A 12,372-nucleotide genomic window follows, 5' to 3' on the forward strand; every position below is an offset into this window, starting at 1 on the left:
CCATGACAAAGACAAAGGTGGCTGGGAGATGTCATCTGTGGCTGGGCAGCTGTTCCCAGCAGCCCCTCTATCTTCTGGAAGGTGGAGCATGAATTTTTTGTTGGTTCACTTGTGAATCTGTCACACCAACGAGTGCTGTAAAATTCGGAGTGGGATTTTACATAGAGAAAGCTAGAAAAACAACTGTGTGTTCATGAGGCCAAGGCATCAGGGTTGAGCACAAACAATTTGAGTGCAGATTTGTCTCTGCTAGTTAATCTCACTTTACAGTGCCCCCAATGTCATGGGTTATCCGGAAGGTTATTTCATGTACCGCCTTTGTGTGGAAGCACATTTCCATAGATAGTAGATAAAGATCTCTTAACCTTATATTTTCCCTCATATCATCATAAATAGCTTATGCAATGCCATTTCAGTGAGTCTGACAACTTCTCCAATGAGGTCTGGATGCAGCAGCGTATCTTTTTGTTATATATAAAAAAGAGTGACAGCATTCATCGTTTACAGTGACATCAATGAATTCTGCTTGTAGAGGTTCCCCATCCATCCGTTCATAATACCTTTTATGACTTCAGGCTTTTAAACATCGCACTCTGGTCTGTTTTTCAAATATACCACCATTATCGGCTCAGGAAGCCATTCTTCAATATTTCATTTTCCTAAGAATATCTGGAATATCTTAATTCCTATGAGGCTTCTCCATGGGGTAGGCTCTCAGGTAGGACTTTAACAGGAAAAGGGGGAAAACTGCTGCTGGAGACACGGTTCCTGAGCACAGCTGTCTGCTCTGTACTGGGAAGTTAAAAGGGTTAGAAAAAGGGGAGTTATAACACAGACTGAGTTATATCTTGGGTCATTCCTGACCTGGAAACATATTAGCTCTTCAGAGCCCTTGAGTTTGCCATCAGGAGAAGGAGAGACACCCATTCAGGTGAAGCCTGGAACCACCAAGGGTTGGGTGAGGAATGGGCAGTGAATGTCCTTCCTAAGATACCCTTCTGCTGATGAGAAGTGCATTCTTGGTTTCCCAGGAAGTGCCCATTTGGACAGAGATGGAGAATTACGAGGGGCATTGCTTCTCAATGTTTTGTCACTTTTGAGGTGCCACGGTGTCTTTCTTTGGCCACCATTTCCTGGTTTCTTCCTTGTCTGCAGATCTTACTAGAGTTAGGCAAAATCAATTTCAGGTTCAGCTCTAGTGGACTGGGAACAATCTCCAGCAGGGAACTCCCTGGACAGTCTGGGGACAGCTGGGACGATTCCTGAAGCAACTTAGATAGGAAAAATCACGATGAGCTTTGATTTAGGGAAGAACATTGTTGGGCACCCTGAGTCCACCTGCCACCAGCCGCGGAGGGCATGTTATAAACACACCAGACACGCCAAGGATGGGAACATTGGACCTAATTTAGCAACAACAAATCCTTTCCCTCATGCATACTTCTCTAATTACAAATGAGATTGTGGTAGGCTTAGCATGGGTAAATAAAATTGATTCTGTCCACAAAATTGGAGATGATAAATGTGTTCAAGAAAGGGCTTCAAATGCCTAGCTGCTGATTAGAAAAGGCAAAATAATTGTGAGATGGTGACTAATAGATGGAAGGAATTGTGGTAGAATTGGTCTCCTTGCAGAAATATCACTGGTCTGATCTTTTCAAGATAATTACCATCAAATGACTGTGTGTTTCATGCTCTACCCTTCAGTTGGCCGAGGCATTGCAGGAATCCCCACATTGACTCGGCTGTAGGTGGCTCTGGCTTTCTCTCTGTTTGAAGCCTGTAACGGAGCCCCTCTGTTTTCTTTTTTCTTTTTTTTAATTATACTTTAAGTTCTAGGGTACATGTGCACAACGTGCAGGTTTGTTACATAGGTATATATGTGTCATGTTGGTGTGCTGCACCCATTAACTCGTTATTTACAGTAGGTATTTCTCCTAATGCTATCCCTCCCCCAGGCCCCCACCCGCAACAGGCCCCAGTGTGTGATGTTCCCCGCCCTGTGTCCAGGTGTTCTCTTTGTTCAATTCCCACCTATGAGTGAGAACATGAAGTATTTGGTTTTCTGTCCTTGTGATAGTTTGCTGAGAATGATGGTTTCCAGCTTTATCCATGTCCCTGCAAAGGACATGAACTCATCCTTTTTTATGGCTGCATAGTATTCCGTGGTGTATATGTACCAATTTTCTTAATCCAGTCTATCATTGGTGAACATTTTGGTTGGTTCCAAGTCTTTGCTATTGTGAACAGTGCCACAATAAACATACATGTGCATGTGTATTTATACTAGCATGATTTATAATCCTTTGGGTATATAGCACCCAATAATGGGATCACTGGGTCAAATGGTATTTCTAGTCCTAGATCCTTGAGGAATTGCCACACTGTCTTCCACAATGGTTGAACTAATTTACACTCCCACCAACAGTGTAAAAGCGTTCCTATTTCTCCACATCCTCTCCAGCATCTGTTGTTTCCTGACTTTTTAATGATCGCCACTCTAACTGGCATAAGATGGTATCTCATTGTGGTTTTGATTTGCATTTCTCTGATGACCAGTGATGATGAGCATTTTTTCATGTGTCTATTGGCTGCATAAAAATGTCCTATTTTGAGAAGTGTCTGTTCATATCCTTTGCCCAATTTTTGATGGGGTTGTTTGATTTTTTCTTGTAAATTTGTTTAAGTTCTTTGTAGATTCTGCATATTAGCCCTTTGTCAGATGGGTAGATTGCAAAAATTTTCTCCCATTCTGTAGGTTACCTGTTTACTATGATGGTAGTTTCTTTTGCTGTGCAGAAGCTCTTTAGTTTAATTAGATCCCATTTGTCTATTTTCGCTTTTGTTGCCATTGCTTTAGGTGTTTTAGTCATGAAGTCCTTGCCCACACCTATGTCCTGAATGGTATTGCCTAAGTTTTCTTCTAGGGTGTTTATGGATTTAGTCTAACATTTGTGGATGAATGAGTCTTCGTGTAGCATTTTAAGGAGGGGAGATGTACAGACTCATTACAGATGAACCTGTTTGCTAAGCACAGTACTTAAACTGCCATTTTGATAGATTAACACTAGTAGTTAGAGGACATCTTCAAATTTGCAGGAAACAAGGTTTGAATAGAAGATTTGTAAGTCACTGTTCTCAGTGGCTCATGCCTATAACCTCAGCACTTTGGGAGGCTGAGGCAGTCAGATTGCTTTAGGCCAGGAGTTTGAGACCAGGCTGGCCAACATGGTGAGACCCCATATCTACAAAAAATTTGAAAATTAGCTGGGTGTAGTGGTGTGTGCCTGTGGTCCCATCTGCTTGGGAGGCTGAGGTGGGAGAATAGCTTGAGCTCAGGAGGTTGAGGCTACAGTGAGCTATGGTCCTGCCTCTGCACTTTAGCCTCGGCGACAATAAGACTCTGCCTCAAAAAAAAAAAAAAAAAAAAAGATTTTTGACTGTGAGACTTGATCTAGGAATGAATGGAAATGCAACTGTAGTCATGTTTCTCCTGCATTCTTCCATCTGCAGAATGGCACCATTGTTGTGCGGATGCTGATGCCCAGCGTTGAGCCTGTCGTCTCCTATATTAGGGGAAGTTCTCCTGGCCCTTCCCAACTACCTCCCCTGTGCAAGTTTATTACAACTGAACGGCCTCAAGGGCAAGTGTGCCTTCTGGTTTAAAGTTTTCTCAGATTAGGGCACTGTCAGGTTTATAGGGATGAAACAGAAGCAACCAGAAGAGAATCTTAGGCTCCCACATCTACCCAGCTACCGCCAGCCCTTTCTGTTGTTTGCTGGATCCCACCCTTACTGAGGGGCATCTTTCAGCAATTCTTTCCTCCTTGGTTTTGCATCTTCAAAGTTCTCCCACCCTTTGAATCCACTCCATTTAGCATTTCACTGACACCACTCCACCGAAACTACTCTTGTCAGGCCACCAATGACCTTCACCTTGCTCTTCAATCGCCATTTCCTGGCCTCTTCTTATTTGTCCTATCAGTAGCATTTGAACTAGCCAGTCACTGCTTTCTCCTTGATAAGCTTTTTTTTTTCTCTTTCTGTTTTTCTTTTTGAGATGGAGTCTCACTCTGTTGTCTGTTGCCCAGACTGCAGTGCAGTGGCACAATCCTGGTTCACTGCAATCTCCACCTCCTGGGTCCAAGCAATTTTCCTGCCTCACCCTCCTAAGAAGCTGGGGTTACAGGTGAGCACCACCGTGCCCAGCTAATTTTTGTATTTTTAGTAGAGATGGGGTTTCACTATGTTTCCCAGGCTGGTCTCGAACTCCTGACCTCTAGTGATCCACCCATCTTGGCCTCCCAAAGTGCTGGGATTACAGGTGTAAGCCACCGTGCCCAGCTGATAAACTTTCTTTACTTGGCTTTTGGGACACCACACTTTCTTCATTTTCTTCCCGGCTCACTGACTACTCTTCCTAGTCTCTTTTCTGGTTCCTCCCATTTCCCTGACTTTCTGGTATTAGAGTGCCCCAGGGCTGCTTAATTACACGCACTTCTTTGGTGATCTCATTCACTTTTATGACTTTAAATACCATCTGTATGTATATGCTGATGACTCAAAATTGTATCTTCCCTGGATTCTTAACACTTAGCTTGGCCAGAGGATAGAAAAGTAAATACAGCCAATTAATCCCGGAAAGGTGGTCAATCATACTCACATTTTAAGAAATGCAAATCCAAACTATAAGAAGATACCACCTACATATATGGGATAAGCAAAAGTTTAACATTTGACAGTCAGAGCTGGTGACCATGTAGGAAAACAGGCCCTTAGGTACTGGTGGAGGGAATGTAAATTGGTGCAGCCTCCTTTGAGAATAATTTGGCATAATCTGTCCCTTAAACAATCATTCCCACTGCTAGGAATTTACCCTTGGAAATACTTTCACGACTTTTACAGGATGCAGATACTAGAGCATTTCCTGCAGCACTGTATATTCAAAAGGGTGGAAACCACCCTTGGGTGCTTCAGGAACCACAAAATAAAATTTGGCATATCTGCAGGATGGAATACTATGAGACCTAAATGTAAACAGAGGAGATTCTTCTGCATGTTGGGGATCACAAGATTCACAATGATTTATAGAAGCTGCCAACCAAAGTTTTCTTGGGGCAGTTTCCCTAGAAGTAGGATGAAAAAAGACTTCCTTTCATGCCCCTCCTTTTCTGTCCCCTTATTACCGAAGAGTGAGTGCAGGAGGATAAAATGTGGAGGCCCCTGCTTCCTTAATTACTGGTCTAGTCACAGCCATTCTTGAGGCCCACTTTCTCCATGAAGTATTTTTTTACATCCCATGATCCCAGGCACTTTATTTCTTTAGTTCTCAACAGTATCCCCAAATTACCAGCCTGCATCTGTCATCCTGTATTTATTGCTGGTTTTTTTTCTTTTCTTTTAGATGAAGTCTGGCTCTGTTGCCCAAGCTGGAGTGTGTTGGCACCATCTTGGTTCACTGCAACTTCCACCTCCCAGGCTCCAGTGATTCTCCTGCCTCAGCCTCAAGGGTAGCTGAGATTACAGGTGCCTGCCACCACGCCTGGCTAATATTTGTATTTTTAGTAGAGATGGGGTTTCACCGTGTTGGCCAGGCTGGTCTCAAACTCCTGACCTCAAGTTATCTGCCTGCCTTGGCCTCCCAAAGTGCTGGGATTACAGGCATGAGCCACTGCACCTGGCCCATTTATTGCAAGTTTTTGAGAGCACTAATATATTTATTATTCTCCCACAGCATAGACCTGTGCCAAATACAGAATAAGTTTCCAAGCATTTGTTGAAGTCAGAAGTGAAAATAAGAAGACACCAAATGAATAATAACTAAACTAGAACACACTCAAATTAATACCAGCTGACCAACAAGGTTGTCAAAGTATTATCAGAATACCTGATAATTGCTACCTGGGCTTTATATACTTAGCTACAGTTTCCATTATTCAGAATTGCAGAATCCTGCTTTCCCTGTCCTCCAAAATATCTGAATAAATCATGCAGCAGACAATGACAGAAGTATAAGAAAGTATATGTCTTTCTCATACTGAAACTGCTATTTGTCATATTCTTTTTTTTTTCTCTCTCACCCAGGCTGGAGTGCAGTGGCATGATCTCACCTCACTGAGAACCTCCACCTCCAGGGTTCAAGTGATTCTGCTACCTCAACCTCCCAAATAGCTGGGACTACAGGTGTGTGCCACCTTGCCTGCTAATTTTTGTATTTTTAGTAAAGACGGGGTTTCACCATGCTAGCCAGGCTGGTCTCGAACTCCTGACCTCAGGTGATCCACCCACCTCAGCCTTCCAAAGTGCTAGGTTTACAGGCATGAGCCACCACACCTGGCCTGAGTTTCTTATATACTTTGGATGTTAACCTCTTATCAGATATGTGGTTTACAAATATTTTCTTCCATTCCTTTCGTTGTCTCTTCACTCTGTTGATTTTTTTTTTCCTGTGCAGAAGCTATTTAGTTTGATTTAATTCCATTTATATATTTTTGTAACCTGTGCTTTTGGGGTCATATCCAAAAAATCCTTGCCAATATCATGGAGCATTTCCCCTAAGTTTTCTTTTAGTAGTTTTTTAGTTTCAGGTCTTACATTTAAGTTTGTAATACATTTTAAGTTGATTTTTGAATATGGTATGAGACAAAGTTCTGATTTCATTCTACTGTATGTGGTTATTCAGTTTTCTCAGCAACATCTATTGAAGAGATCGCCCTTTCCCCTTTGGCACTTTTGTCAAAAATCAATTGACCATAAATGTATTGATTTAGTTCTGGGCTCTATTTTGTTCTACTAGTATGTCTGATTTCACGTGTCAACCTCAAAAATCTGAGACAGGTCTCAGTGAATTCAGAAAGTTTATTTTGCAAAGGTTGAAAATCTGTGCCTGTGATACAGCCTCAGGAGGTCCTGATGACATGTGCCCAAGGTGGTTGGGGCACAGCTTGTTTTTGTTTTGTTTTGTTTTGTTTTGAGACAGAGTCTTACTCTGTTGCCCAGGCTGGAGTGCAGTGGTGCAATCTTGGTTCACTGCAAACTCCGCCTCCCAGGTTCAAGCACTTCTCTGCCTCAGCCTCCTGAGTAGCTTGGATTACAGGCGCCCGCCACTCGCCCGGCTAATTTTTGTATTTTTAGTAGAGACAGGGTTTCATCATCTTTACCAGGCTGGTCTTGAACTCCTGACCTCGTGATCCACTCTCCTCGGCCTCCCAAAGTGCTGGGATTACAGGCATGAGCCACCACATCTGGCCGGTTTTATACATTTTAGGGAGACATAAGACATTAATCAATATACGTAAGATATACATTGGTTCCATCAGGAAAGGTGGGACCACTCAAGCACAGAGGATGCTTTCAGGTCACAGGTAAGTGAGAGGCAAATGGTTGCATTTTTTTTGAGTTTCTGATTAGCCTTTCCAAAGGAGGTAATCAGATAAGCATTTATCTCAGTGAGCGGATAGATGACTTCAAATCGAATGGGAGGCAGGCTTGCCCTAAGCAGTTTTCAGCTTGACTTTTTCCTTTAGTTTAGTGATTTTTGGGCTCTAAGATTTATTTTCCTTTCACATTTCCCCCCCTTTCTTTTTTTAAAATCTTTTGGAGAAAGCATTTTAGAAGAAAGCAAGTCTCTGGTCCCAGGTTTTCTCGGATCATTCATGGCTAGGGTGGTTTATCCTAGATGTGTAGGTCCTGAGTTAAGAAAGCAATTTTTAGCAGGTTAGAATTCTCATGTTCTATGAAGAGAGAATAGGGAGAAAAAGGGAGAAAAACAACAACAAACAAAAGAACAATCCTGGAAAATCAATATAGGCCACATGACTCTGAAGTCTATACATCAGTAGGCAGGAATGAAAGTGGCTTATGTAAGTAAATAGGTTGCTGTTACTTTCTTCTGATGTTTAAGTTGTCCAGATTCAGTTTGCAGGGCTTTAAGAAATCACATCTTAGTTTTCAGTGATTTCAAATTAGGAAAATAAAAAAAGGAAAAGAAAGAAGAAAAGTATTGAAAACATTTTGGAGATCAGTAACCAGGAAAAATTAGAATTCAGTTCAAACTGTTGAAAATGATAAAAATTGAAGAACAGGCAAGACTAGACTCTAAGAACAGGTGTACTATAGTTTTTGAAGCATAATTTTTCTCTCTCTAGTTTCCCATTTTTACTAAAGACAAGTCATGATAGGACCAATTTGGCTTAGTATACTTGACCAGCTTATTTGTATAAAGTGCAGCAAGAAAAATGATTTTTTCAATAGGCTTTTAAAATTGGCTTTCATGGAACTTTGTTTCATAGAAGGAATCTCAGATGAGACTTTTTAAAGCCAAGCACAGCCATGGATTTGTATCATCAAATACTCATGAATTGTCTGAATTCTCCTCTTGAGGCTTTCAGATAACTTGGGGCCCTGGGCCTGTCAGAAAATGACAGTCTCTACTTACTACAGGTCAGGAGCCCTGTTCAGGAACTGTGTAGATGAGATGTGGGCCAGTTTTCTCAAGGAGCTTTTATTGGCTCTGTAAGTCAAGTTTGATTCCTTAAAGGAAAGCACACCATTCCAGTCAAAGCCTTGGTAAAATAACCATATTCTCAAATTGTGTCCTGTTACAAATGAAAACAGATTCTTACTCTGCTTATGCAATAACTATATTGCCACAGGTTAAGAATACTCACAAATAGCTCCCAAATTATGGAGAAATCAGATAGAGAGAAACAAATATGTTCCAGATTTTGTTCATAGGAGTATACTTAATTGTTAAAAGCTGTCAGTAGCTCAAAAGAAAGGTTTGTTTGACTGAAAAAACAGAACAAAGGATCAGCAACATTTTACGTAAAAAGTCAAAAAGATTACTTCAGTCTTCTATTAGTTCAGTCCATGCAGTTAACTTTTGTTTTGCTTGATATTCATGAACATTTCGGCTCTCTTTGAGTCCTGAAAGTTTTTCCTCTATTCTGATGTTGCAGCCTCCAAAGTTATCAGAAACTTGCATTGAGGAGCACCTGTTAAGAGTTTTATAGCGATTTTAAAACCACCTTCTAAAGAGGACCAAAACAACAATTGTCCATGGATGACAAAAAATTTTAGAGCAGTGATAGTCAAAGACACAATTGAGAAGAAAACTTGTTACCTCTGTGGCACACAATAATTTAACATAATTATAATTATTACTGATAATGTACACTAAGTCATATCAGAATTGTAGTTTTTCATAATTTTGGAACACATCAATAATATATTTATACAAATACAGCCCAAAGAAAACCAAAGAGCATTTCATATTTGACAATGTTTCCTGTATAATTTTTATACCAAAAAACCCCCATATATGTCATTTTTGGACTTTAGGGAACTTTATACCTTAAAGGATTAATTATGTCAGAAAAAGACATAATTTATAATTTCACTTTGGAAAGTTTGTCAAATATCAAAGGTTTAAAACACTCAATATTGCAAAATGAGATTACAGGTCATTGTAAAATATATTATTCATTTAACTGAAGTGATAACTTAAGGATTTCAAAAAAGGTTGAAAACCTTCATTCTTTCAGAGAGGAAACTTAATTTTCCAAATGATAAGCCCTAATGAAAACAGCATGAAGCCAATTAAATTTGTTTTTCAAAATTTTATAAACAATCTATAAAATTTTAATGTTAATCATAAGTTATAACTTCCATAAACTTTTTATAGCATTTATAACCTTTATTAGGGAGTCAGTTAATGCTTTAAGAAAACCTTGTTAATCTGACACAGGGGCCCATATGCTGGTCTTGCATTTGTGTGCCTTTGACATTAAAGGTTAATTTATAGAGAAACTGAACTATTTTATCTCTCAAAATCAGCCCATACAATCTCACATGCCCACCTCTTTCTTGATAGTCCCTTGGCCTTGAGGAGTTGAATAGCTTTAATTTCTGTGTCTCAGGAATGCAGTTTATTTTGATTGGCATCTTTTACCAGGCCTGAAGATGAGGCTTTAATTGCTGTCAGTGTTTAAGATTTAGCAGGACTTGGTGTCCTTTTTAGACCCAGGAGTCAAGGCCTTATAAATCAATGTCACAAGGACTCTAAAAGCACATACAGAAAGATATATGGATATAATAACTTTAATTTAAAAAATTGTTTTAATCTCAGTTTTTTCCTAAGCAAACCAAAACTTAATAATAATGGCATAGGAATTGTTTCAATAAACCATAAAGTCTGTTAGGCCAGTTACCAAAAGGCAAAAGAAAACACCTTCTGCACTGCACAGAATATTACATTGGAAGAAAACATTTTGTTTAGACCTTTAAGAAAATACTGTTAGCATCAGACCTCAACAAACAGAACTTGAAAACTTATATGAGCTGAAAATGAATTGAAGGAGGGGGTTACTATTTCAGAAGGGAGAGAAAAAAAATGGCAAGATGCAGTAAAAGTTGAACTTTGGGTTAAAAAAATTAAAATATCTTATAATCTATTAAGAGTAAATCAATCCCTTAGGAAAATGTCATTGTTCTAGGCAATTATTTAATGTATAAGTGTTTTTTTTCACATCAAGCCCAATCTCTAGAAAGATCACTATAATTTCCTTTTAATTATAGACAACTTGATCATATAAAAGGTTTTTTTTTTTTTTTTGACAGAGTCTTGCTCTGTTGCCCAGGCTGAAGTTCAGTGATGTGATCTCAGCTCACTGCAACTGCAACATCTGCCTCTGAGGTTCAAGTGATTCTCCTGCCTCAGCCTCCCGAATAGGTGGGATTACAGGCATGCATCACCATACCTGGCTAATTTTTGTATTTTTAGTAGAGATGTGGTTTTGCCACGTTGGCCAGGCTGGTCTCCAACTCCTGACCTCAGGTGATCTGCCCACCTTGGCCTCCCAGAGTGCTGGGATTACAGGCATGAGTCACTGTGCCTGGCCTCTTTTTTGTTTTTTTCTTTTCTTTGTTTTAAAATAAATCCTCTTATTGTGACTTACACAGAGTGTTCATGACTTGGACTTTCTGGTGTGTTCTAAACATCCCTCTTTCTTTATATATATATATATATATATATATATATATATATATATATATATATATATATTTTTTTTTTTTTTTTTGAGATGGAGTCTCGCTCTGTCACCCAGGCTGGAGTGCAATGGTGTGATCTCGGCTCCCTGCAACCTCCGCTTCCCGGGTTCAAGCTATCCTCCTGCCTCAGCCTCCCGAGCAGCTGGGACTACAGGCACGTACCACCACGCCCAGCTAATTTTTGTATTTTAGTAGAGACGGGGTTTCACCATGTTGACCAGGATGGTCTCGATCTCTTGACCTCGTGATCCGCCCACCTCGGCCTCCCAAAGTGCTGGGATTAGAGGTATGAGCCACAGTGCCCGGCCTAAACATCCCTCTTTCTTAAACAACCAGTCGGTTTATTCTAGGACTAAATCTACCATACAAGATTCTTTCTCATATAAAATGATTTCTTTTTATTTATTTATTTAACCAAAAACAACCCTCTTTATTTTGATAACTTTCTTTACATCTCTCTTATTTCTTGGTCCCTTTTACCTCGTTTTGTATGTAACCTTTAAATAAGCTTTGAGTTAGACAAAAATTGTTCACCATTTTTAAAAAGGACACTTTTTTTCCTTCAATTATCTTAATTGGAAAATACTCAAATAATGAAATATCTATTATTTAATTTAATATAACTTTAGACTCTAAATTATGACAAGTTTGTCAACAAGTATTTATCCCATTACATTTACCTATTTTATTTTAATAGTTTACCTAGATTATTTATGGAAACTGTGATCATTATTGTTTAAAGTTATGAAACCGCCATTGCAAAATTATAACTGAAACAGTGAAAAAGTTCTAACCTAACTGACTCCATTTTGCTTCTTACCTCCAAGCTGTTCTTGTTCATTCCTGGGTATAGGCCAAACTATGGGAGAAACTTAGTTTATAGTTTAGCTTTGAAGCAAAGACAGTAACTGTCCTTTCCCAAACAAACCTCCTTATTGTTTGTGGACTCAATTGCCTAAAGCCACAAGATTAGAAATTATGGTAATTTTACTGAATAATTCAAGATGTAGCTATTTTGATTAAACCAATATCAATGTCTTATTTATTAAAAATTACATAAGCAAAGATTATTCTGTTTTGGGTTGGGTTTACAGTTTTGTAGCCCCTATACCAAATTTTGACAGCAAATAGTATTTGTCAGGGATAAGTATGAAATTGCTTGATTAATAAATGCAAACAAAAATGTTTGCTGGCAATTCTTAAGACATTTCTAATATTACTTTACCAACAATCTTAAAACAAACTTATTTATTAAAGATTTAAATTGTTATGTAAACTTGAAAAAGCATTTGACTGCTCTGTTCTTTTTTCCTGATAATG

General features: G+C 39.2%; 1 long non-coding RNA gene across 3 annotated transcripts in view, besides 1 other annotated feature; it reads left to right on the plus strand.

The window, feature by feature from the left end:
* Positions 1-12,372, plus strand: part of ZNF337-AS1 (ZNF337 antisense RNA 1) — a 54,030-nt gene that overhangs the window by 4,600 nt on the left and 37,058 nt on the right. The window contains exons 2-4 of one of the 3 annotated variants that reach the window (NR_126467.1): positions 3,514-3,644; positions 5,405-5,526; positions 6,085-6,183. The exons of 1 other annotated variant lie outside the window; for it this stretch is intronic. This is a non-coding gene — a long non-coding RNA (ZNF337 antisense RNA 1). The remainder of the gene's footprint in view (positions 1-3,513; positions 3,645-5,404; positions 5,527-6,084; positions 6,184-12,372) is intronic. One more of the 3 variants, NR_126466.1, reaches the window with a different exon arrangement.
* Positions 5,684-5,733: an enhancer, noted in NCBI's record as "active region_17672". NCBI's record gives its function as "activates an Ori minimal core promoter by ATAC-STARR-seq in GM12878 lymphoblastoid cells {active_cell/tissue: GM12878}" and the evidence as "EXISTENCE:reporter gene assay evidence [ECO:0000049][PMID:35858748]".

The sequence above is a fragment of the Homo sapiens genome, chromosome 20 (genome assembly GCF_000001405.40).
Source record: "Homo sapiens chromosome 20, GRCh38.p14 Primary Assembly".
Taxonomy (NCBI): domain Eukaryota; kingdom Metazoa; phylum Chordata; class Mammalia; order Primates; family Hominidae; genus Homo; species Homo sapiens.